General features: G+C 46.7%; 1 protein-coding gene and 1 pseudogene across 1 annotated transcript in view, besides 2 other annotated features; one reads left to right on the top strand and one right to left on the bottom strand.

Moving 5' to 3' along the window:
- Window positions 1-25,657, top strand: part of ATP9A (ATPase phospholipid transporting 9A (putative)) — a 171,877-nt gene that overhangs the window by 24,666 nt on the left and 121,554 nt on the right. Inside the window, exons 2-3 of the mRNA NM_006045.3 lie at window positions 13,747-13,891; window positions 17,793-17,906. Of these exons, the coding sequence (NP_006036.1) occupies window positions 13,747-13,891; window positions 17,793-17,906 (259 nt within the window). The remainder of the gene's footprint in view (window positions 1-13,746; window positions 13,892-17,792; window positions 17,907-25,657) is intronic.
- Window positions 441-735: a silencer, noted in NCBI's record as "tiled region #2507; HepG2 Repressive DNase matched - State 5:Enh". NCBI's record gives its function as "represses a minimal TATA promoter and a strong SV40 promoter by Sharpr-MPRA in HepG2 cells {active_cell/tissue: HepG2}" and the evidence as "EXISTENCE:reporter gene assay evidence [ECO:0000049][PMID:27701403]".
- Window positions 4,461-4,755: a silencer, noted in NCBI's record as "tiled region #2265; HepG2 Repressive DNase matched - State 5:Enh". NCBI's record gives its function as "represses a minimal TATA promoter and a strong SV40 promoter by Sharpr-MPRA in HepG2 cells {active_cell/tissue: HepG2}" and the evidence as "EXISTENCE:reporter gene assay evidence [ECO:0000049][PMID:27701403]".
- On the bottom strand, window positions 8,661-9,185 carry RPL29P35 (ribosomal protein L29 pseudogene 35; annotated as a pseudogene).

Below are 25,657 nucleotides of genomic sequence, written 5' to 3'. Positions count from 1 at the left end.
TTTCTTACTCTTAAAGGATTTGGGCTGGGCACGGTGGCTCATGCCTATAATCCCAGCACTTTGGGAGGCTGAGGCGGGCGAATCACGAGGTCAGTAGTTCAAGACCAGACCAGCCTGACCAATATGGTGAAACCCCGTCTCTACTAAAAATACAAAAATTAGCCTGGCGTGGTGGTGCACGCCTGTAATCCCAGCTACTCGGGAGGTCGAGGGAGTAGAATCGCTTGAATCCGGGAGGCAGAGGTTGCAGTGAGCCGAGATCCCGCCACTGCACTCCAGCCTGGGTGACAGAGTGAGACTCCGTCTCAAAAAAAAAAAAAAAAAAAAATCAGTTTCGGTCTTGCAGCCCATCTCCCCAGCCTGTCTGGAATGTGGGATGGAAGTTTATTTGTCATGGCAGTGTCAGACGGTCCAGTTTCAGTTTGGTGTTAAGGAACAACAGCAGCACCCACAACACCAACGTGACAGCTGCCACAACACAGCTTTGGGCCACTGCTCCTCTGGAACCCTGGGGCACCAGGGAGCTGAAGTCCATGCATGCAACACGCAGGGTGTGGCTGCAGCTTCCCCAGGAAGAGAACTGCATGTATAAATCCACTCCTCAGTAGGGAGGCTGGCTGTCACTTCTCTTGTTTGGACAGATGTGGGGGAATTTGGTCACTTGTAGTAAGTTTGCCACCAAGCTCAAGGTTTCTACCGTGGGACAACAGTTCCAAAATGCTGGGCAGGCAATGGTTCTGGGTGCTGCAGTGATAAATTTAAGGAATTCATGGGCAGGAACTGACTCACATTGAGACATTTAGCAAGACGCTTATTTATTTTTCAGTTTCCCTTCAGTATTTACAGCCCTGTCAGGGCCTACTTTTTAACACCAAACACTTGCTAACTTCTCAGCAATAAAGAAAGGAGGGGCCAGGTGCGGCGGCTCATGCCTCTAATCCCAGCACTTTGGGAGGCCGAGGCGGCTGGATCACTTTAGGTCAGGTGTTTGAGACCAGCCTGGCCAACATGGTGAAACGCCGTCTCTACTAAAAATACAAAAGTTAGCTGGGCGTGGTGGTGCACACCTGTAATCCCAGCTGCTTGGGTGGCTGAGGCACAAGAATTGCTTGAACCCAGGAGGCGGAGGTTGCAGTGAGCTGAGATCGCGCCACTGCACTCCAGCCTGGGCGACAGCAAGACTGCGTCTCAAAAAAAGAAAAAAAAAAGTAAAGGAGGAGGAGCAACAGCAGGGTAGGCTTCTGGCTCAGAGGCACTGCCAGCTGCAGCAGCCAGCTGGAGTGGAGTAACACACTTTGCTTTTCATTGTGCTGGTTTTGTTATTTATCTTCTGTTTATGGCAAGTGATACTGGTTTCTAGTTATGGTAATGGCATGAAGTTATCTTTTTTTTTTTTTTTTGAGACAGTGTTTTGCTCTGTCCCCTAGACTGCAGTACAGTGGCATGATCAGGGCTCACTGCAGCCTCGACTTCCCGGGCTCAAGCAATCCTTCGTCCTTAGCCCCCCAAGTAGCTGAGACTATAGGCATGTCCACCATGCCTGGCTAATTATTTTTGAATTTTAGTAGAGATGAGGTCTCACCGTGTTGCTCGGGCTGGTCTCCAACTCCTGAACTCAAGCTGTTTTCCTGCCTCGGCCTCTCAAAGTGTTGGGATGACAGGTGTGAGCCATGCCTGGCCAGAGGCTATCATTTAAAATACATTTATGTAAATGGAGTGAATCCATTTTAAACAAATAGTTTATATATAAAACCTAGAGCAGGAGTTCTCAACTGGGCACAAGTGGCGTTTTGGGCTGGATACTTCTCTGTTGTGGAGGTTGTCTGTGCATTGTAAGGTGTCTCGCAGCATCCTTGGCTGCCTCCATCCACTAGATGAGAGTAGCATCTTGGAGTTGTGACAGACAACAGTGTTTCCAGATATTGCCAGATACCCACCCTGGGGGTGCAAAATTGCCTGTAGTTGAGAACCACTGATGTAAGGTGATCAAATTTAGACAAAATTGTGTAGGTAGAAGCTAGAGGTATTTGGAGATCATAGAAATCCCATGTGTGTATGAAAATGGCTGAAGTTTGGGAAACTCTGTTCAGGCGAGTTTCCCTCCATTGTGAGGTCCACTTCCTTTTTTATTTTTATTTTTATTTTTTGAGACGGAGTTTTGCTCTTATTGTCCAGGCTAGAGTGCAATGGTGTGATCTCGGCTCACTGCAACCTCAGCCTCCCAGGTTCAAGCGATTGTCCTGTGTCAGCCCCCTGAGTAGCTGAGATTACAGGCATGCGCCACCACGCCTGGCTAATTTTGTATTTTTAGTAGAGATGGGGTTTCTCCATGTTGGTCAGATGGTCTCGATCCCCTGACCTCGTGATCCGCCTGCCTCGGCCTCCCAAAGTACTGGGATTACAGGCGTGAGCCACCGCGCCTGGCCTGTGAGCTCCACTTACTAATGTTCGTGTGTGCTTCCTTTGCCATTGACATCAGTTCAAGAGTAAGGTGGAAGGAGGTGTCTTGAAAGGGATGCTCTCCAGCAGTGTTGCCCAGTAGAACTCTCAGCCATGATGGAATGTTCTGTGTCTGCACAGTCTAGTCCGTAGTTAGTGGTCACATGTAGCTATGGAGCACTCAGTGTGGCCAGGGAAAAGGAATTTTTAATTTTTAATTAATTAATTAAAATTTATTTTTAATTAATTAAATTAAAATTTAATTTTAATTAATTGAAACTTAAAATAGCCACATGTGGTAGAAGCCGCCAAGGTGGACAGCACAACTGTAAAGAAGTCAGAGCAGTGAGGACAGGATGATAAAATGCAGGCTTTAAGGTGTAGACTGTACTCTTTAAACATTAGAATTGGGGCCGGGTATTGTGGCTCACATCTGTAATCCCAGCACTTTGAGAGGCTGAACTGGGAGGATTGCTTGAGACCAGGAGTTGGAGACCAGCCTGGGCAACATAGTGAGACTGTCTTTACTAAAAATAAAAAATAAAAAAAATTATCCGGGAGTGGTGGTACACACCTGTAGTCCCAGCCACGTGGGAGGCTGAGGCAAGAGGATCACTTGAGCCTGGGGAAAAGGAGGCTGCGCTGAGCCATGATGGTGCCACCACAGTCCTGCCTGGGTGACAGAATGAGACCTTGTCTCAAAAAACAAAAACAACAACACAAAATTTTTGTATTTTTTGTAGAGACGGGGTTTCACTATGTTGGTCAGGCTGGTCTTGAACTCCTGACCTCAGGTAATCCACCCGCCTTGACCTCCCAAAGTGCTGGGAATACAGGTGTGAGCCACCGCGCCTGGCCTGCCAGACAGGAATCTTAAAAGATTTTAGATAGTGGCTGACAGACTCCCAACTAAAATTGGTTTGTGTTGGCTGGGGCGTGGTGGCTCATACCTGTAACCCCAGCACTTTGGGAGGCTGAGGTGGGCAGATCGCTTGAGCCCAGGAGTTTGAGACCAACCTGGGCTATGTAGGGAGACCCCTGACTCTACAAAAAATTATAAAATATGCCAGGTGTGGTGGTGCATGCCTGTAGTCCCAGCTACTCGGGAGGCTGAGGTGGGAGGATTGCTTGAGTCCAGGAGGTTGAGGCTCCAGAGAGCTATGATCTCGCCACTGCACTGCAGCCTGGGTAACAGAGTGAGACCCTGTCTCTAAATAAATAAATAACAGTGAAACAAAGTAAACTGGCTTGAGCAAAGTAAAGTACAACAAAAGCTATTTTATTGACTCTGAGACTGAAAGTCCAGGGGTGGGTGAATCTTTGCAGTCTCTCAAGGCTATCGGGAACTTCTTGTCTCTGCTGTCCTCCTTGGGGGCTTCATTTTCAGGCCGACTAGTCCCTCAATGGGAACAGGATGTCTGTCCCCTGCCCAGGCATGTTTTCTGCTACCTTAGCAACCCCAGGGAGAAGAACACATCTTTCCAAGTATTTCTAGCAAAATCCCAGCCAGGGGTCTCACTGTCCCTTCTCAAGCCTGTCACCATGTCCAGAACATCCAGGGCTCTCCCTGGCTAAGCCTGGAGCCTGCGCACATCATGCCTGAAATTCAGAGATGGGATTGGGCTCAGCTAAACCCCTGGGAAAGAAGATGGAGGAAATTGACTTTTACAACCATGATTAAAGAGTGAGTGTAGGTGAGGTCAGGAGATCGAGACCATCCTGGCTAACAAGGTGAAACCCTGTCTCTGCTAAAAAAAACACAAAAAATTAGCCGGGCATGGTGGCGGGTGCCTGTAGTCCCAGCTACTCGGGAGGCTGAGGGAGGAGAATGGCGTGAACCTGGGAGGCAGAGCTTGCAGTGAGCCGAGATTGTGTCACCTGCACTCCAGCCTGGGCGACAGAGCAAGACTCCATCTCAAAAAAAAAAAAAAAAAAAGAGTGAGTGTAGGATAGAAGAAAACTCTATGGCAGTCTAGGACTGAGGGAGTAGACCTAAGAAAGGACGTACTTGGAAGGGGACCCTCTCTGGGGCCAGGGTTCAGACCTGGTTGGGGACAATGGGGTCCAGACTGTTGGATGGCAAGAAAGTTGGCGGGCTTGCAGGGCCAGAACTGGTCTGCACCCATGGGGAAAGGGGGAGGCAACCTTCCAAGTGCAGGTGGGGCTGGTGAGTCATAGCTGGTGGTTCACACGCGTCCCTCCAGAGTGTTGCTCTGTCACCCAGGGTGGAGTACAGTGGTGTGATCTCAGCTCACTGCAACCTCCGCCTCCCAGGTTCAAGCGATTCTCTTGTCTCAGCCTCCTGAATAGGTGGGACTCAGGCCTACAGGCACCTGCCACCACGCCTGGTTAATTTTTGTAGTTTTAGTGGAGGCGGGGTTTCTCCGTGTTGTCCAGGCTGGTCTCGAACTCCTACCTCAAGTGATCTACCCGCCTTGGCCTCCCAAAGTGCTGGGATTACAGGCGTGAGCCACCGCGCCCAGCCTCCCTCCAGCATTCTCTACTGAGAAAGCTTAACACTGGAGCACTGTAAAGGAGAGAGGCATACACTTTGTTTTTTATTTATTTATTTTTTTGAGACAGAGTCTTGCTCTGTCGCCCAGACTGTAGTGCAGTGGTGTGATCTCTGCTCACTGCAACCTCCGCCTCCCAGGTTCAAGAGATTCTCCTGCGTCAATCCTCCCGAGTACCTGGGACTACAGGTGTGTCATGCGCCACCATGCCCAGCTAACTTTTGTATTTTTAGTAGAGACAGGGTTTCACCACGTTGGCAAGGCTGGTCGTGAACTCCTGACCTCAGGTGATCTGCTCGCCTCGGCCTCCCAAAGTACTGGGATTACAGGCGTGAGTCACTGCGCCTGGCCGAGAGGCATACACTTTCGATGGAGCTTGTGCTGCCCTACTTGCCCCAATCTATATGCAGTTCAATTTGCTTACTTTTTAAAAAATTTTTTAGGCCAGGCACCATGGCTTGCGCCTGTAATCCCGGTACTTTGGGAGGTCACGGGTGGGTGGATCACCTGAGGTCAGGAATTCGAGACCAGCCTGACCAACATGGTGAAACCCTGTCTGTACTAAACATACAAAAAATTAGCCGGGCGTGGTGTTGGGTTCCTGTAATCCCAGCTACTTGGGAGGCTGAGGCAGGAGAATCGCTTGAACCCAGGAGGTGGAGGTTGCAGTGGGCCAAGATCACACCACTGCACTCCAGCCTGGGCAACAGAGAGAGACTCTGTCTCAAAAAAAAAAAAAAAAATGTTTTAGAGGCTGAGTCTTGCTATGTTGCCCAAGTTGGATTCGAAATCCTGGGCTCAAGTGATCCTCCCACTTCAGTCTCCTAAGAATCTGGGATTATAGATACTTAGGATATAGAGTATAGCATATAGATAGGATATAGATCTGCGCCACCACACCTGGCTCTTTCGCTTACTTATTTTACCTGCCTGTCCCGTGGAGGTGTTTGGTTTTGTATCCCGTAGTATGAGTCCTTGAAGCATACAAGTTCAAAAGTTTAGGACCACAGTACCTCTGCTTAGTTTTTTGCTTAGTTAATATCATCTTTAAAATCAATATTGAAAAGTGTAATACATGTTCATAAGAAATTAAAATATGCAGAAGTGGGTACAGCAAAAAGTACAAGTCAAGTGACTTTATTCATCCAACAATTCTCTTTTTTCACTCCCCAGCAATAATACTGTGAGTAGTATCTTTTGTATTCTTTTTCTGTGAATACGCTTCTTAGTCCAACTGGGGTTACGTACTTTTGGTAAGGCTGAATGTATATATATTGGGCCCCACACGTGTGCAAAGAGTGACATGGTAGATTAGTAATCTGTGTAATTAGCAAAGGAAATAATTCATAAGGGAGAGAGGCATAAAGGAAATCTGTCCATTGTGGCAGAGCAGGTATTCAAGGGTGATGTTGGCACTGAGAGGGAGTAAATTGATAAGTGGCTCAAAGGTGAATGGGTACGGGGCAAGAGAGCTCCTGCATGGACCGAACAGTCACTCTTGATGGTCCCCAAAGACGCTTCCAATTTGTGAACTGAGAGACTGGGAAAAAAAGTATTGCTGTGAAAGAATTGTGCAGGTGAGGCTGTTCATGGTAGTGCAGGATGCAGAGAGCTCTTAGCCCAGGGTCTGGATCAGACAGGCCTGGGCTCCATTCCTGCTTCTACCCGTTAGTAGGAGAGAGAGCGGATGTAGCAGATGATTTTGGGCAGGTCACTGAGTCCTCTGGGGCTCACTTTATCCACTGTAACAATGGGAATGGTGCTAGTACCTTGTAGGATTGTTGTGAACATTAAATGAGACAGTGCATTTCTTTTTCATTTTTGACATTTTAGAGATTGTGCATTTCTACATCTATAACATATCGAGAGTCTGTACCCTAGTACCCTACTCCTCACTCCCCCACTGCCACCCCCCTTAGTCTGGACTGCTCTATAGTCTTGCCTGGATGATGGCACCAGCCTCATAAATAATTCCTGTTTCTGTTTTTTTTGTTGTTGTTAATATAACAGTTTCATTGAGACATAACTCATATACCTTATAATTCACCTATTTAAAGTGTACAATTCAGCAAGTTTTAGTGTATTTGTAGAGTTGTGTAGCTATCACTACAATGTGAGGGCCAGGCGCGGTGGCTCCCGCCTGTAATCCCAGCTCTCAGGGAAGCAAGAGTCAGGAGGATAGCTTGAGCCCAGGAGTTCGAGACCTGCCTGGGCAATATAGCGAGACCTCGTTCTCCAGAAAAAGGAAAAAAAAACAAAAACAAAAGACAAAAAAAAAAATAAGAGTAACTACAATGTGAGAACATTTCATTCCCATAAAAAGAAACCCTATACCCATTATCTGCTTCAGCTCTTGCTCACTGCAGTGTTTTCTCTGACCAGTGGCCTGGGGGACCTTTTAAAACTATAAATGAGATCATTCCACTCTCCTGCTTATAACCTTCAAATGATCCACACTGTGTATGGAGTAACATCTAGACTCCTTGCCCTGGTGACAAAGCCCTGTGTTGTCCGCCCCCCATCTCCTCCCTCCTTGTCCTTTATCTTCTCCCCGTGATGGGTGCATTTCTGCTGCAGCCAGTCTTTGCATGCTTTGCGAGTGCCAGGCTGCCTCCCACCTCCGGATCTTTGCCTGTGCAGTTCCATCTGCCTGGATTGCACTTCCTTGTATGGGTGCATGGCAGCTTCTTCTTGGCACTCAGCTAAACTGTCCCCTCACCTCCCTGGCCACCCATTCCCGGAGCCACACCCCTTCCTCATTCACTCTCTGGCCCCTGGCCTTATTTTCTTTGGAAGTTGTTTACTGTCTCCCTCCACTAGGCTACAAGGTCCATGGGAGGAGGGCCTTGTCTGTCCTGTTCGCTACTGAATGCCCGGTGCCTAGGCGAGGGCTGGCCACTGTGCAAACACTCAGGGCACACTTTGGGAATGGAGGAGTGACAAAAAGGAAGCTGCTATTACTTGCCTTGTTGTTGTTACTAAGTGTTCAGTATCTATTGACTTGAAAGTCAAATAAGTCCTGTATTAAAAGGTGTAAGTTATATTCAGTGCAGGTGAAGACTGAATGAATGTGGTAACAATCAAATTGGTTAAATGAGATGGGCTTTTGGCTCAGGTAACACAAAGTTCTTATTTTATCCTGTGCCAAACACTCCAGTTTTGCAATGAGATTGTGAGGAAGGAGAAGGCAAGGATTCTGTTCCAATGTTTGGTCCCAGAGGACCTAGAATAGTACTTTGTACCGGGTAAGCGCTTAATAAAATAATGCTTACTCTTATGAATTTAGCTGCAGAAACATTTAGTCCCATAGACAATATGTGTAGAATGTAAAAAATGCAAATCTTACTAAAAGAATATACAGGAAAAGTTCTCCCTACTCCTTCTTCCTGAAAGGGAGCCAGTGTTATTAGCTCGTCGTGGAGATTGTCTGTGCTCATGCAAGCGTCTCCCTGCATGTATGTCCTCTTGCTTTCGTGCAAAGAATAGCATCCTACACACACCTTTTAGCCCCTTGCTTTTCGGTTTTGTGTATTTTGCAGATTGGGTCATTTTGTGCACACAGCGCTATTTTATTCTTTTTTTTGTTTGTTTCCCCCTGCCTCAGGCTTATTTGTACAAATAGCACAGGAAGATACCAACCCCATGCAGACGGCAGCCCAGAGGTCATACCAATCCTTCTGTCCTCATGTTTGCAGATGGAGATCTCTACTCTGAAGCCTTTTAGGGGCGTGGGCACTTTTGAGAGCCTGAGCTGGAACTGAAGCTGGAGCTGCAGTCTGGGCCTTGGTTTGATTCTTGGCCTTTGGCCAGCACAGCCTAAGACCCTTAGCAGTGCGGGCATGAGCATGCGTCCCAAGTTTGGAGTGGGCAATGTAGGCAAGTCGATGAATTTTGCTGCCGACACCCTTTGAGATCTTGGGCTTAACCTCTTTGGACTTTACAAGGGTCTTGATAGCCTCGGCGTGTGCACTCAGGGCCTTGGTGGTGTTGGCCTGCATCTTCTTCATGCACTTCTTCTTGTACTTCTTGGCAAAGTGCATGTTCCTCAGGAACTTGGGGTTCACCCACTTAAGAAAGTCATATCTTTGTGACTGGGATTTCTTCCTTTCTTTCTTTCTTTCTTTTTTAAATTTCTTCTTAAAAAAACCAAAATGGGATACACGTGGACTGGGATTTCTTGATGCCATTTCTGTTCCATTTTCGGGCCTGGTTGTGTGTGGTTGTATGTGGACTTGGACATGTCTGCACCGAACCCACAGCTCCCGAAGTGCCTGGAACCGGAAGAGGACCTTATGCTTTAGAGGGGGTTAGGAATTTCATTTATGGCTTATCCCTGTTTATTTAACCAGTCTTCCTTTGATGAACGGTGTTATGGTCTGAATGTATCCCTTCTCCCTAAATCTGATAGTTGTATGAAGTTGGGCACTGAGGAGGTGATTGGGTCATGAAGGCAGAATCCTCATGAATTCCCTTATAAAAGAGGCAGGAGGGGCTGAGTGGGGTGGCTCACACCTGTAATCCCAACACTTTGGAAGATGAGGTGGGCAGATCACTTGAGCCCAGGAATTTGAGACCAGCCTGGGCTGCATGGTGAAACCCCATCTCTACAAAAAAAAAATTACAAAAATTAGCCAGGTGTGATTGTGCTTGCCTATAGTCCCAGCTACTTGGGAGGCTGAGAGGTGGGAGGATTGGTTGAGCTTGGAAGGTTGAGGCTGCAACAAGCTGAGATCATGCCACTACACTCCATCCTGGGCGACAGAGTGAGACCCCATCTTAAGAAAAGAAAAAGGCATGAGGGGCCAGGCATGGTGGCACAACTTGTAACCCCACCACTTTGGGAGGCAAAGGTGGGAGGATGGCTTGAGGCCAGGTGTTTGAGACCACCCTGGACACCATAGTGAGACCCTCACTCTACAAAATATTAAAAAATTAGCCAGGCATGGTGGCACATGCCTTTAGTCCCATATACTTGGGAGGCTAAGGTAAGAGGATTGCTTCAGCCCAGGAGTTTGAGGCTGCAGTGAGCTGTGATTGTACCACTGTACACCAGCCTGGGTAATACAGATTTTTTAATTTAAAAAAAAATTAAAAAAAAAAGGCCAGGTACAGTGGCTCACGCCTGTAATCCCAGCACTTTGGGAGGCCAAGGCAGGCGGATCACGAGGTCAGGAGTTCAAGACCAGTCTGACCAACATGGTGAAACCCCGTCTCTACTTAAAAATACAAAAATTAGCTGGGTGTGGTGGCGCACGCCTGTAATCCCAGCTACTCAGGAGGCTAAGGCAGGAGAATGGCTTGAACCCAGTAGGTGGAGGTTGCAGTGAGTGGAGATCGTGCCACTGCTCTCTAGCCTGGGCAACAGAATTAGACTCTGTCTGGAAAAAAAAAAAGGCATGAGGAATGGGCCTCACCAGATACTGAATCTATTGGTGTCTCCATCTTGGACTTTGCAGCCTCCAGAACTATGAGCAATACATTTCCTTGTTTGTAAATTACATAGTCTAAGGTATTTTGTTATAGTAGCGGGAAGGGACTGAAACAAATGGTTAGATTTGTTTCCAATCTCTTGCTCCCATAGTGCAGTGAGTGACCTGTACTTTGTGCATATGCACAAAGGTGATAGGCTAAGTAATTAATAAATAGCATAACTGTAACCGGATAGCTTGATGTCTGGAAACTTCTGCTAAAACAAAACAGAACAAAAATTTTGTATAAACAGTCAACCTGACAGTTTGTGATTCTCTTAAATTCATTTTTCATCTTTCATTAGAACTGTACAACTATGAAGACAGTCATTACTAGATTATTATAGGATAGGGAGAGAATTACTGGCTCTTAGAGGAGTCAGTCTTCACCATCCAGTAAGGTTTCTGCAAATACGGTGATGCGCTTTCTGTCAAATGAATCTTCCTTCGCTCCTCTCCTCCTTCCCCTTTTTCTCCCATCCTTTTCCTCTCCCCCTCCCTCTTTGCTTCCTCCATTCATTCAAAATGTATTCAGTGAGTGTCCACTGATGGCCAGCATGGGTGATTTGCACTTGGAAACAGGAGTGGCGAGAGTGGTTGGACTCCTTGAGGCTTCTGTGTGTGTCTCTGGCTTTTGGACAACTTAGAAAGGGGCCAACAAGAATGAGTTACTAGAAGTGAAACCTTAGCAGAGCCACACTCCACCATGAATGCTGGTTTACTGGAATGAGGATGCTATTTTTAAGAAAGAGCATTGTGTTTCATCATGGAAATTTTGAGCATCTGAGCAGGCAGCCTGCTGGCTCGCTCATCTTTAAGGTCCTGATGGACAGAGGCTGTGTTTTCTTAGCTCTGTACCCCAGCACCCACCAGGACCTGCTCTGTGGGAACAAGGGAAGAAGGAAGGTCTGTGGTGGACGAGTAATATGTGAGTTGTTGGTTTCACCTTAGCTGGCGACATCCCAGGGGGCTGGCAGGGCTGGGACCTTGCCTCAGCCTTTGAGTGCTGGGGCGGTGAGGTGAGCGGTCCAGCGAGGGACGTTTTTGTTGCAGTTTTTCGGGAGCTTGTACTTCTCAGAGTGCCTTGTTTAATAAAGCTCTCCTGAAGGACAAGCTGCCGTTTTTGGGGTCCTCAGAGCACCTCGTTTTGCCAGAGCAGCCCAGATTCCTAGGTGTTCCTTTGCCTCGTGGGAGGGTGACCTGGGAGTGGGGGTGCTGATGTTGGCACCAATGAGCTGTCCTCTTGGGAAAACCACGTTGGGGGCGCCCTTGGGGTCGTTCTGCCGACAGCTGGTGTGCTGGCTTCTCTCCAGGTTATATCGAGCTCTGAGACATCATCTTTGTGGCTTGCTCCTCTAATGTGTTGCTGAAAAGGAAAGCTGGGGGTGGAGAGGAGATTCCCCCGCTCCCCCTTTTCCTTTATATAGCAATCTTGGTGGAACTAGCAGCTGTGACAGCATGGGGTGGGGAAAAGACACTAGGCTTTGGAATAAGGCTGACACAGTTCAAGGCCAGACCCAGCTGTTTCTTACGTCTCTGCAAACTTGGGTGCTTTAGCTGTTCCAAGCTTCTCTTTTTTTTTTTTGGAGATGGAGTCTCCCTCTGTCACCCAGGCTGGAGTGCAGTGGCATGATCTTGGCTCACTGCAACCTCCGCCTCCCGAGTTCAAGCTATTCTCCTGCCTCAGCCTCCCTGGTAGCTGGGATTATAGGCGTCTGCCACCACACCCAGCTAATTTTTGTAATTCTAGTAGAGATGGGGTTTCACCATGTTGGCCAGGCTGGTCTTGAACTCCTGACCTCAGGTACCTCCGCCTGCCTCGGCCTCCCAAAGTGCTGGGATTACAGGCGTGAGCCACCTCGCCTGGCCCAAGCTTCTCTCTTATCTGTGAAGCATAGATGTAATAATAGTACTTACTGTGATATATTTATTTTCTTAAATCCTTTTATTCTAAAATAAAGCCTACCTTTAAAAAATTATTATTATTTTTATTTATTTATTTATTTGAGACGGAGTCTCGCTCTGTTGCCCAGGCTGGAGTGCAGTGGCAATAGCTCACTGCAACCTCCGCCTACTGGGTTCAAGCGATTCTCCTGCCTCAGCCTCCCGAGTAGCTGGGATTATAGGCGCCTGCCACCATGCCTGGCTAATTTTTGTATCTTCAGCAGAGACGGGGTTTCACCATCTTGGTCAGGCTGATCTCGAACTCCTGACCTCATGATCCGCCTGCCTCGGCCTCCCAAAGTGCTGGGATTACAGGCATGAGCCACCGTGCCTGGCTAAAAAATTTAATTTTTAATAGAGATGAGAGTCTCACTTTGTTGCCCAGGCTGGTGTCAATCTCCTGGCCCCAAATGATCTTCTTGCTTTGGCCTCCCAAAGTGTTGGGATTATAGGCATAAACCACCATGGCTGGCCGAATCTTACTTTTTGGAACACAGTCTTTTGCCACATAATGACATATCAACCAACCACAGACCACATATATAACAGTGGCCCCATTAGATTAGAATACTGTATTTTTACTGTATTTTTTCTATATGTAGATATGTTTAGAGACACAAGTACTTACCATTGTGCTACCACTGCCTGTCTTATTCAGTACAGTCTCATGCTGTGCAGGTTTGTAGCTGAGGAATAATAGGCTGTACCATTCAGCCTAGTGCATAGCAGGTGATGGCAGCCAGGTTGTGTAAGTCACTCTAGAATGTTCCCACAGTGCCGAAATGGCCTAATGCGTTTCTTAGAGCGTATCCTTGTCGCTTAACAATGCAAGACTGTAAATAATTTGGGATTGGGGACAAAGCATCTTTTTATTTATTTATTTACTTATTTTTTGAGACGAAGTCTCAGTCTTTCGCCAGGCTGGAGTGCAGTGGTGCGATCTTGGCTCACTGCGACCTCCGCCTCTTGGTTTCAAGCGATTATCCTCCCTCAGCCTCCTGAGTAGCTGGGATTACAGGCACGTGCCAACACGCCCGGCTAATTTTTGTATTTTTTAGTACAGACGAGATTTCACCATGTCAGCCAGGATGGTCTCGATCTCTTGACCTTGTGGTCTGCCCACCTCGGCCTCCCAAAGTGCTGGGATTACAGGTGTGAGCCACCGCGCCTGGCCAGGACAAAGCATCTTTTATTTGGACCACAGCTTCGTGGGAGCTTCTGCTCTGTTTTCTTGTTTCACTGAAAGATGAAGCCTCAAATATGGCTGTGGTCCTGAGCCAGAGAAGATGCTGTAGAGAAAAGCAATCTGCGAAGAGTGGGCAGACATGAGCACAGCCTCGATGCGTGGGCGTGGCCTTGATGCGTGGGTTTCTTTCCCACAGGTGCTGCGAGTGGCTGAGATGCTGCGGTGGAGGGGAGGCCAGGCCCCGCACTGTCTGGCTGGGGCACCCCGAGAAGAGAGACCAGAGGTATCCTCGGAATGTCATCAACAATCAGAAGTACAATTTCTTCACCTTTCTTCCTGGGGTACGTGCAGGCAGGGACCGTGCTCTTTTCTTTTTTCCATCACAAATACATGCATTGGTACAGATGTTATGTCATGTCATGTTATTTTTTAGACAGAGTCTTACTCTGTCGCCCAGGCTGGAGTGCAGTGGCGCAATCTTGGCTCACTGCAACCTCCGCCTCCTGAGTTCAAGCGATTCTCCTGCCTCATCCTCCTGAGTAGCTGGGATTATAGGCATGTGCCACCACGCGTGGCTAATTTTTGTATTTTTAGTAGAGATGGGGTTTCACCATGTTGGCCAGGCCGGTCTTGAACTCCTGACATCAGGTGATCCACCCACTTCAGCCTCTCAAAGTGCTGGGATTACAGATGTGAGCCACCTTGCCCGCCGGTACAGTCTTAAAAGACTGAGTTCCCTGTGGCAGATGTCAGTGACTTTTCTGTGCCACCTTAGTCCCTGGTTGTTCATCTTCCCTGGGTTCAGCACTGGGTAGTGGCGGGGTTGGAGGTGGGGTGGGGTGGAGGGGGCACCTGCCTTCTCTCTGCAAGGCTGTGACCCCACCTGCTCAGTTAGAGTAACTTCACATGTATTTGGTGTGCTAAGCCTAAGAATGAAAAAGACATTCTGGGGACCTAGCATTATGACCAAAACAGCAGAAAAGAATGTCAGCAGTGCTTAAATTTCCCCCCATCATGACACATGTAGTCAATATTGGCAAGTTGGGAGATAATAGCTTAGAGGAGAAAAAATAAAGATGCATTTTAATCTTACCATCTATAGAGAGAATTTTCATTAGTATTTTTGCTAATAATAAATGTTTCTGGTGGCATAACACTTCCACATTAACTTACACAAATCTGTGGACATGTACTCAGCAAACCTTCTCCCCAACATGCACATAAATTAAATATCTATTTTTATCCAGCACTGCCTCCAAACACACACCAGTTGACTTTGAGAAGCAGCAGTAGCAATCAGCTCCAATGCAGAAAGGAACATAATGGTAGTGTTAGATATTGAGTGATAGTGCAGAGGCACAAATCTATTATATAGTCGAGTTCAAGGTCAATTGGAATTTGTTTTTTAAGAGACCAGATCTCACTGTCTTGCCTGGGCTGGAGTGCAGTGGCATGATCAGAGCTTATTGCAGCCTCAGACTCCTGGGCTCAAGCCATGCTCCTCTCTCAGCCTCCCAAACAGAAATTTGAATTTTTTTTTTTTTTTTTGAGATGGAGTCTCGCTCTGTCGCCCAGGCTGGAGCACAGTGAGCCATCTTGGCTCACTGCAACCTCCGCCTCCTGGGTTCAAGCAATTCTCCTGCCTCAGCCTCCCAAGTAGCTAGGATCACAGGCACCCGCCACCACGCCCGGCTAATTTTTTGTATTTTTAGTAGAGACGGAGTTTCACCATGTTGGCCAGGCTGGTCTCGAACTCCTGACCTCAGGTGATCCACCCACCTTGGCCTCCCAAAGTGCTGGGATTATAGGCACGAGCCAGCGCTCCCAGCCGTGAATGTTTTTAAGGGTGATTTTGACTATATTCATTGCTGGTTTCCTCAACTCCCCCCAACTCTCAGTACCTCAAGTGAGGAATAGGTTTATTCTCATTCATGGAAAGTCTGATGCAGACTGGGCCACACTCCTCCATTTCCTGGGTATGGCACCTGGACTATGTGGCCACCAAAGTCACCAGAGTGGCTCAAGAGGCACCAATGGTTCTTAGCTGCCTTAGCCTCAACGAGACACAGTACGTCCATTCATTACCTATTGGCCCAAACTAGTCATGTGGTCTCAGTCTGACTCTCGGGTGCATGCCAATGGTCAGAACCACACTAGCACCTAGCTGCTCCCCAGGGGAGGATTTGACTGTGTTATTTTATGGAGTTGAGGTCATGTTGTGGACATAGCTTTTTTTTTTTTTTTGAGACTGAGTCTCCCTCTGTTGCCCAGGCTGGTGCACAATGGCGTGATCTCGGCTCACTGCAACCTCCACCTCCCGGGTTTAAGTGATTCTCCTGCCTCAGCCTCCTGAGTAGCTGGGATTACAGGCACGTGCTCCCATGTCCGGCTACTTTTTTTATTTTTTAGTAGAGACAGGGTTTCATCATGTTGGCCAGGCTGGTCTTGAACTCCTGACCTCGTGATTCATCCGCCTCGGCTTCCCAAATTGCTGGGATTACAGGCGTGAGCCACTGTGTGCGGCCATTTAACTTTTTAAAAATTATTTTTTATTTTATTTTTTGAGATGGGGTTTCACTTTTTATTTTTTGAGGTGGGGGACTCATTGTCACCCAGGCGAGAGTGCAGTGACATGATCTTGGCTCACTACTATCTCCGCCTCCTGGGCTCAATTGATCCTCCCACTTCAGCCTCCTGAGTAGCTGGGACTACGGGTGCATGCCACCACTCTTGGCTAATATTTGTATTTTTTGTAGTGATGGGGTTTTACCATGTTGCCATGGCTGGTCTCGAACTCTTGAGCTCAAGCCATTTGCCAACCTCGCCCTCCCAAAGTGCTGGGATTACAGGCATGTACCACCACGTCTGGACATGCTGTGGACGTAACTTTTTTTTTTTTTGAGATGGAGTTTTGCTCTGTCACCCAGGCTGGAGTGTAGTGGCGCGATCTCAGCTCACTGCAACGTCTGCCTCTTGTGTTCAAGCGATTCTCTTGCCTCAACCTCCTGAGTAGCCTATAGGTGCCTGGCTAATTTTTTGTATTTTTGTAGAGACGGGGTTTCACCTTGTTGGGCAGGATGGTCTTGATATCCTTACCTCGTGATCCGCCTGCCTCAGCCTCCCAAAGTGCTGGGATTACAGGTGTGAGCCTCTGCGCCTGGCTGGACATAACTTTTTATTTCTTTTTGCACTCAACCTTATAGCATAAGCATTTTCCGCAAAAACCTCCTCCTAAACAACAGAGCAAGGCTCCGTCTCAAAAAAAAAAAAAAAAAAAAAAAAAAAGAAATAACACAGTCTGGACGCAGTGGCTTAGGTCTGTAATCCCAACACTTTGGGAGGCTGAAGTGGGAGGATCGCTTGAGCCCAGGAGTTCAAGGCCAGCCTGGGCAACATAGGGAGACCCTGTCTCTACAAATAGCAAAAAATTTAGCTGGGCATGGTGGTGCATGCTTGTGGTTTCAGCTACTTGGGAGGCTGTGACAGGAGGATCGCCTGAGCCCAGGAATTCGAGGCTGCAGTGAGCTACGATCACGCCACTGGACTCCAGGCTGGGTGACAGAGCGAGACCTGGTCTCAAAAAACAAAACCAAACCCCAAAACACACATAACATAGTTGATGCCCCTGTGTGCCCCTCCATGTTAGATTTTACCCCTTCCCCAGGAAGTAACTACTCTTCTGAATTTGGTATTTACAATTTCCATGTATATCATTATTTACTCTTTCTTTTACAAATGATACTTTTATTACCCATGTATGTTTTTCTAAACAACATATGGAAGTGTTTAAGCTCTATGTGAAAAGTATAGTGTAAATTGTATTATAAAGCAGGATTTTTTTTTTTTTTTTTTTTTTTTTTTGAGACAGAGTTTCGCTCTTGTTGCCCAGGTTGGAGTGCAATGGTGCGATCTTGGCTCACTGCAACTTCCTCCTCCCGGGTTCAAGCAATTCTCCTGCTTCAGCCTCCTGAGTAGCTGGGATTATAGGTGCCTGCCACCACGCCTGGCTAATTTTTGTAGTTTTAGTAGAGACAGGGTTTCGCCATGTTGGTCAGGCTGGTCTCGAATCCTGACCTCAGGTGATCCGCTCGCCTCGGCCTCCCAAAGTTCTGGGATTATAGGCGTGAACCACCACGCCTGGCTGCAGGAATGTTTTTAGATGTTATTCATTTCCCACCAAATGTTCCAGATCTCATCAGACAAGCCCTGAATGTCTTTCTCTGTTGTCTCCCTCCATTCCAGGTGCTGTTCAACCAGTTCAAATACTTTTTCAACCTCTATTTCTTACTTCTTGCCTGCTCTCAGTTTGTTCCCGAAATGAGACTTGGTGCACTCTATACCTACTGGGTTCCCCTGGTAAGTTAATCGGCATTGTTTGTTCAGTAACCTTAGAGGTTTGGAAACAGAAAGTTCTTTGTTTCTCTCACTTAGGCATCTGGAATGGGATGGTGGCCTTGTAAGGGAAAGGATGCCCTTAGGCCAATACATTGGGAGTCTCTGAGACTTTAACGTTGAAGCTCCATTTCATATACCGCCTGGATCAAACTATAGCAAAGCCTGTGCCGTTCATTTATTCATTTAGCTGTTGGGTCTTGCATTATCTCAACAAGGATTTATTGTATGTTTATTGTATATGGCACAAGTCTAGACTCTGGGAACACAGAGGTAAATGAGAAAGACAAATCCCCTGTCCTCATGGATTATATCACAGGTTGAGCATCCCAAATCCAAAATCTCAAATGGTCTAAAATCTGGCCAGGCACGGTGGCTCATGCCTGTAGTCCTAGCACTTTGGGAGGCCGAGGTGGGAGGATTACCTGAGGCCAGGAGTTTGAGACCAGCCTGGGCAACATGGTGAAACCCATCTCTACTAAAAATATAAAAATTAGTGGGGTGTGGTGGGACGTGCCTGTAGTCCCAACTACTTGTGAGGCTGAGGCAGGAGAATCGCTTGAACCTGAGAGGCAGAGGTTGCAGTAAGTTGACATCACGCCACTGCACTCCAGCCTGGGTGATGGAGAGAGACCTGTCTCAAAACAAAAACAAAAACAAACAAAAAAATTCCAAATAAATAAATGTAAAATCTAAAACTTTTGAGCACTAACATGGGACTCAAACGAAATGCTCACTGGAGCATTTTGGATTTCAGATTTTTGGATTTGAGATGCTTAACTGGTAAGGATGGCACAGATGTCCCCCAATCTGGAAACATCTGCAATCTCAAACACTTCGGCTCCCAAGCATTCTGCATCAGGGATGCTCACCTTGTATTTGAATTGTTTCCTGGGATCACATTTTCTTTTTAACCAATGTAGAGTATTTGAGTGTGAGGGGTTGGAAAAGTAGCAGAATCTATGCTTTTGTGCATGCGATGTGTAGCAGAACCGAGTAGCCCCTCTGTTCCTTCCCTCGCCTCCTTTTCTTTCTCCATTGATTTGGCAGATGGTGGTTGAGCACCTGCTGTGTGCCAGGCCCTGTGCTGGGTTCTGGGGGTGCAGCAATGAACAGAGTAGACAAATATTTCTGCCCTGTGGGGCTGACATTCAGAAGGGATAGACAATAAACCAGTAAATGAAATTGTTACAAATTGTGAAAAGTGCTCTGAAGGTAACAGAATAAGGTCGTAGGACAGATGGGGTATCCCAGATACATTTAGTATTTTTTACATGAATGAAGGTGAAGGGTAGGAGATGTGAAGGGGCAGCCTTAGCCTGTGTGGCTGTGAAAGGCCTCCTGAGGAGTGATGGGAAGGAGACTATTCCAGGGGGCAGTGATGCAAAGGCCCTGCAGCAGGCATGTGCTTAGAGCATTTGAGAAACAGAAAGAGGTCCAATGTAACTGAGCTATGGAGAGGGCAGAATAGATACCCTTTTTTCTCCAAACTGAGGTATTATGAAATGCAGTTGCTGTTTATATTCTCAACAAGTGGGACCCAGGGGGGGAACGCTTGGATTCTCTGTTCATAAATCTCATTAACGTTTTTATTTTTATTTATTTATTTTTGAGATGGAGTTTCGCTCTTATTGCCCAGGTTGGAGTGCAGTGGCGCAATTTCAGCTCACCACAACCTCTGCCTCCTGGGTCCAAGCGATTCTTCTGCCTCAGCCTCCCGAGTAGCTGGGATTACAGGTGCCCGCCACTGTGCCCAGCTAATTTTTTGTATTTTTAGTAGAGATGGGTTTCACTCTGTTGGCCAGGCTGGTCTCAAACGACTGACCTCAGGCGATCCACCCACCTCGGCCTCCGAAAGTGCTGGGATTATAGGCGTGAGACACTGCACCTGGCTCTATTTTTATTTTTAATTAAAGAATTTGCTTTTAGGCCGGGCACGGTGGCTCACACCTGTAATTCCAGCATTTTGAGAGGCTGAGATGGGCGGATCAAGAGGTCAAGAGATCAAGACCATCCTGGCCAACATGGTGAAACCCTGTCTCTATTAAAAATACAAAAATTAGCTGGGCTTGGTGGCATGCACCTGTAGTCCCAGCTACTCAGGAGACTGAGGCAGGAGAATCGCTTGAATCCGGGAGGCGGAGGTGGCAGTGAGCGCCACTGTACTCCAGCCTGGTCAACAGAGCGAGACTCCGTCTCAAAAAAAAAAAAAAAAAAAAGAATTTGCTGTTGCCCAGGCTGTAGTGCAGTGTGCAATCATAGCTCACTGCAGCCTTGAATTCCTATGCTAAAGGAATCCTCCTGCCCCAGCCCCCTGTGTGGCTGGGACTACAGGCACATGCCACCATGCCTGGATAATTTTTTTTTTAATTCATTTTTTTTCCTATAGGTTATTGGGGTACAGGTGGTATGTTGTTACATGAGTAAGTTCTTTAGTGGTGATTTGTGAGATTTTGGCACACTCATCACCCGAGCAGTATACACTGCACCCTATTTGTTATGTTTTATCCCTTGCCTCCCTCCCCACTCTTTTCCCCAAGTCCCCAAAGTCCATTGCATCATTCTTATGCCTTTGTGTCCTCATAGCTTAGCTCCCACATATTAGTGAAAACATATGATGTTTGGTTTTCCATTCCTGAGTTACTTCACTTCGAATAATAGTCTCCAGTCTCATCCAGGTCACTGCAAATGCTGTTAATTCATTCCTTTTTATGGGTGAGGAGTAGTCCATTGAATATATATACCACAGTTTATTTATCCACTCGTCGATTGATGGGCATCAATCTCTACTAAAAATACAAAAAATTAGCTGGGCATGGTGGCGGGCGTCTGTAATCCCAGCTACTGGGGTTGGTTCCACGATTTTGCAATTGTGAATTGTGCCACTATAAACGTGTGTGCAAGTATCTTTTTCGTATAATGACTTCTTTTCCTCAGGGTAGAACCCAGTAGTGGGATTGGTGGATCAATGGTAGTTCTTCTTTCAGTTCTTTAAGGAATCTCCACACTGTTTTCCATAGTGGTTGTATTTACATTCCCACCAGCAGTGTAGAAGTGTTCCCTGTTCACTGCATACACGCCAACATCTACTGTTTTTTGATTTTTAGATTATGGCCATTCTTGCAGGAGTAAGGTGGTATCGCATTGTGGTTTCGATTTGCATTTCCCTGATCATTAGTGATGTTGATCATTTTTTCATATGTTTGTTGGCCATTTGTGTATCTTCTTTTGAAAATTGTCTATTCAAGTCCTTAGTCCACTTATTGATGGGATTGTTTGTTTTTTTCTTACTGATTTGTTTGAGTTCTTTGTAGATTCTGGATGTTAGTCCTTTGTCAGACGTATAGATTGTGAAGATTTTCTCCCACTCTGTGGGTTGTCTGTTTACTCTGCTGACTGTTCCTCTTGCCGTGTAAAAGCTCTTCAGTTTAGTTAAGTCCCAACTATTTATCTTTGTTTTTATTGCATTTGCTTTTGGGTTCTTGGTCATGAAATCCTTGCCTAAGCCAATGTCTAGAAGGGTTTTTCCAATGTTACCTTCTAGAACTTTTATAGTTTCAGGACTTAGATTTAAGTCCTTAATCCATCTTGAGTTGATTTTTTGTATAAGATGAGAGATGAGGATCCAGTTTCATTCTCCTACATGTGGCTAGCCAGTTATCCCAGCACCATTTGTTGAAAAGGGTGTCCTTTCCCCCACTTTACGTTTTTGTTTGTTTTGTTGAAGAGCAGTCGGCTGTAAGTATTTGGGTTTATTTCTGGGTTCTCTATTCTGTTCCATTGATCTATGTGCCTATTTTTATACCAGTACCATGCTGTTTTGGTGACTATGGCCTTATAGTAGAGCTTGAAATCAGGTAGTGTGATACCTCCAGATTTGTTCTTTTTGCTTAGTCTTGCTTTCACTATGCAGGCTCTTTTTTGGTTCCATATGAATTTTAGAATTGTTTTTTCTTTTTTCTTTTTCTTTTTTTTTTTTTTTGAGATGGAGTCTTGCTCTGTCACCCAGGCTGGAGTGCAGTGGTGTGATCGTGGCTCACTGTAAGCTCCGCCTCCCAGGTTCATGCCATTCTCCTGCCTCAGCCTCCCGAGTAGCTGGGACTACAGGCGCCTGCCACCACGCCTGGCTAATTTTTTTGTATTTTTAGTAGAGAGGGGGTTTCACCTGTGTTAGCCAGGATGGTCTCGATCTCCTGACCTCGTGATCCACCCACCTTGGCCTCCCAAAGTGCTGGGATTACAAGCATGAGCCACTGCGCCTGGCCCAAGAATTGTTTTTTCTAATTCTGTGAAGAACGATGCTCTTGGCTAATTTTAAAGCTTTGTGTAGAGACAGGATCTCATTATGTGGCACATACTCATCTCCAACTCCTGGGCTCAGGAATCCACCTACCTTGGCCTTCCAAGGTGCTAGGATTACAGATATGAGCCGACACGCCCAACTTATTAAATTTTTTTGACTAAGAGAAAGTTGTAAACATAAAAAAGATTTAGGCTCTCCTTAAAGAAACAAAAACAATAAACCTTTTTGCTGTTGGCAGTAGGTGAGGGATGATAAGGATTTGGTGTAGACGTGCTTGTGGAGTGGAGGAAGCCAGATGCTCAGGGACCAGGGAGTGGGCGTGCATACGCCGTACGTGCCATGTTATCAGACAAGTGATGCCAGCAGCTCTTGCCCTGAGAAGAGGAAGGGAGGTCATTTCTTCCACACAAACAATGCAGGTGCTTCTGAAATGACGAGAATAGTTCTTTTCTGCTCTGAGTCATTTTGGGGTGAAGTAGCATCCTGAGAGCTAGAGAGGCCCTTTATCCAAGCATCCCTTCCCCTCTGATAACAGACATTCCTGCCTGTATCAGGTGGCATGCTTAACCAACTGCCAGGTGGTGCCTGCGCCTTTAAGCACTGATATTGTGATCATCAGGAAACGGTTTTTGTTTTTGTTTTTTGTGAGACAGAGTCTCGCTGTGTCGCCTAGATTGGAGTGCAATGGCGCGATATCGGCTCACTGTAGCCATCACCTCCCGGGTTCAAACGATTCTCATGCCTCAGCCTCCTCAGTAACTGGGATTACAGGCAGCCACTACCACACCCGGCTAATTTTTGTATTTTTAGTAGAGACGAGGTTTCACCATGGTGGCCACGCTGCTATCAAACTCCTGACCTCAAGTGATCCGTCCACCTTGACCTCCCAAAGCTGGGATGACAGGTGTGAGCCACTGCGCTAGGCCTAGGAAACTGTTGGGCTTTACCTTATAAACTGAGATGCCCTAGAGCTGGGCTGATGCAGTAAAGCCCTGGGAGAATGAGAAGCTCCTGTCGGCTACTCTGCCCAGTCAGGTACAAACAGGGACCAGGAGTTGCCAGACCCAAGAGTTACAAACTCTATAGTTTTATGTGAAATACTCTAACTTCATTTTAGTTTTTTAGTTCCATAACTGTTTACTGTATACTTACATAAAAATCAAACCATAAGTTACTTTAACAAAGTTGGTCTACAATGTATATAAAATAACATTTATCATACTGCCTTTTATTGGTTATCTTTTTAAAGTGTAGTTATTTGAAAGGTAGTACATTCACATGACTCAAGAAATATACAAATGTTCCTTTTGAAGAATCTACTTCCATCCAGTTTTGCAATACTTTCATTTCTTGTCCTTCCCTCCAGAGTTGCTTATGAACAAAGTACAATGAATAAAAATTCTTACAACTTTCTTTTTATTGATTGATTCATTGAGAGTCTCACTCACTGTCACCCAGGCTGGAGTGCAGTGGCATGATCTGGGCTAACTGCAACCTCTGCCTCTCGGGTTCAAGTGATTCTCCTGCCTCAGTCTCCTGAGTAACTGGGATTACAGGTGTGTGCCATCACGCCCAGTTAATTTTTGTATTTTTAGTAGAGATGGGGGTTTCACCATTTTTGGCCAGGCTGGTCTCGAACTCCTGACCTTAAGTGATCCTCTCGCCTTGGCCTCCCAAAGTATTGGGATTATAGGCGTGAGCCACTGTGCCCAGCCCGTTTCTTCTTCCCCCCCCTTTTTTTTTTTTTTGAGACAGAGTCTTGATCTGTTGCCAGGCTGGAGTGCAGTGGTGCGATCTTGGCTCACTGCAACCTCTGCCTCCTGGGTTCAAGCGATTCTCCGGCCTCAGCCTCCCAAGTAGCTGGGACTACAGGTGCGTGCCACCACGCCCAGCTAATTTTTGTATTTTTAGTAGAGACGGGGTTTCACCATGTTGGCCAGGATGGTCTTGATCTCTTGACCTCTTGATCCGCCCATCTTGGCCTCCCAAAGTGCTGGGATTACAGGCGTGAGCCACTGCGCCTGGCCCATGTTTCTTCTTTTTAGGAAAAAAATAAGATACACATAGTTTTTAATCATTTTTAAAAATTTTTAGTATTTTTTCTCTTGATTTTTAAACATCAACAACTCATTAATAACAATTTAAAGCAGTATGTGAATTGGACCCATCCCTTTTCCTCGTGGTCTGTATGTTCAGGCTGTCCCTTGTCCTCTCTGCTCTTGTTGAAGGTGAGGGACTTTCATATTACCTCACCCCTGTGCTTCTGGGCTCAGGAGGCCCTTCCCTGGCCCCCAGCAAGGAATGCTCCAGACCCCATCTCTCAAGCCACATCTCTCTCTCTTTTTTTTTTTTGAGACAGAGTCTCACTCTGTCGCCCAGGCTGGAATGCAGTGGCTCGATCTTGGCTCGCTGCATCCTCCACCTCCCGGGTTCAAGCGATTCTCCTGCCGCAGCCTCTTGAGTAGCTGGGACTACAGGCGCGCACCACCACGCCCAGCTAATTTTTGTGTTTTTAGTAGAGATGGGGTTTCATCATGTTGGTCAGGCTGGTCTCGAACTCCTGACCTCGTGATCCACCTGCCTTGGCCTCCCAAAGTGCTGGGATTACAGGTATGAGCTACTGCACCCGGCCTGTTTTTTTTTTTTTTTTTTTTTTTTTTTTTTTGAGATGGAGTCTTGCTCTGTTGCCCAGGCTGGAATGCAGTGGTGCGATCTCGGCTCACTGCAACCTCCGCTTCCCAGGCTCAAGTGATTCTCCTGCCTCCACATCCCCAGTAGCTGGGATTACAGATGTGGGCCACCACACCTGGCTAACTTTTGTAGTTTTAGAGATGGGGTTTCACCATGTTGGCCAGGCTGGTCTCGAACTCCTGGCCTCATGTGATCCGCCCACCTTGGCCTCCCAAAGTGCTGGGATTACAGGTGTGAGCGCTCGACTCAAGCCACATCTTTTGAATTATCTTAAAAGCCAGATCCTGCCATTCTTTTTGCCCCCCACTCCTCCAAAGCTGCTCCTGTTCACTGTTCTTTTTTCAAATAGAAAAGATCGCATGATATTGGAGAAATATTTAAAGTACCAAAACAACCAAACAAACAACCCCCCCCCACACACACATAGGGTGATGAAAATCACCTGTGTAGCTACTACCCTAAAATATCCCATTTATGATTCTGGTGTGTTTCCTTCCAGTGCCTTCTTACTTATGCATGTATTTTATGTATACTATAACTTACCTTACATAAACCATATATATTCTGCAGATGCATGTTTTATAGATTTGGGATCCCAAGGTGTCCTCGAAGGCAGCCATGTGTCTCTCCGTCTCCCTGCCTTTTATATCTCAAGCGTGATGTGCAGTCTGGTCTCTGCCGCCTCCCCTTATCCATTGCCCTGGCTGCAATGTCTTGGGGT

The sequence above is a fragment of the Homo sapiens genome, chromosome 20 (genome assembly GCF_000001405.40).
Source record: "Homo sapiens chromosome 20, GRCh38.p14 Primary Assembly".
NCBI lineage: Eukaryota > Metazoa > Chordata > Mammalia > Primates > Hominidae > Homo > Homo sapiens.
The sequence above is the reverse complement of the archived record's forward strand: the minus strand, read 5'-3'. Positions and strand labels throughout refer to the sequence as shown.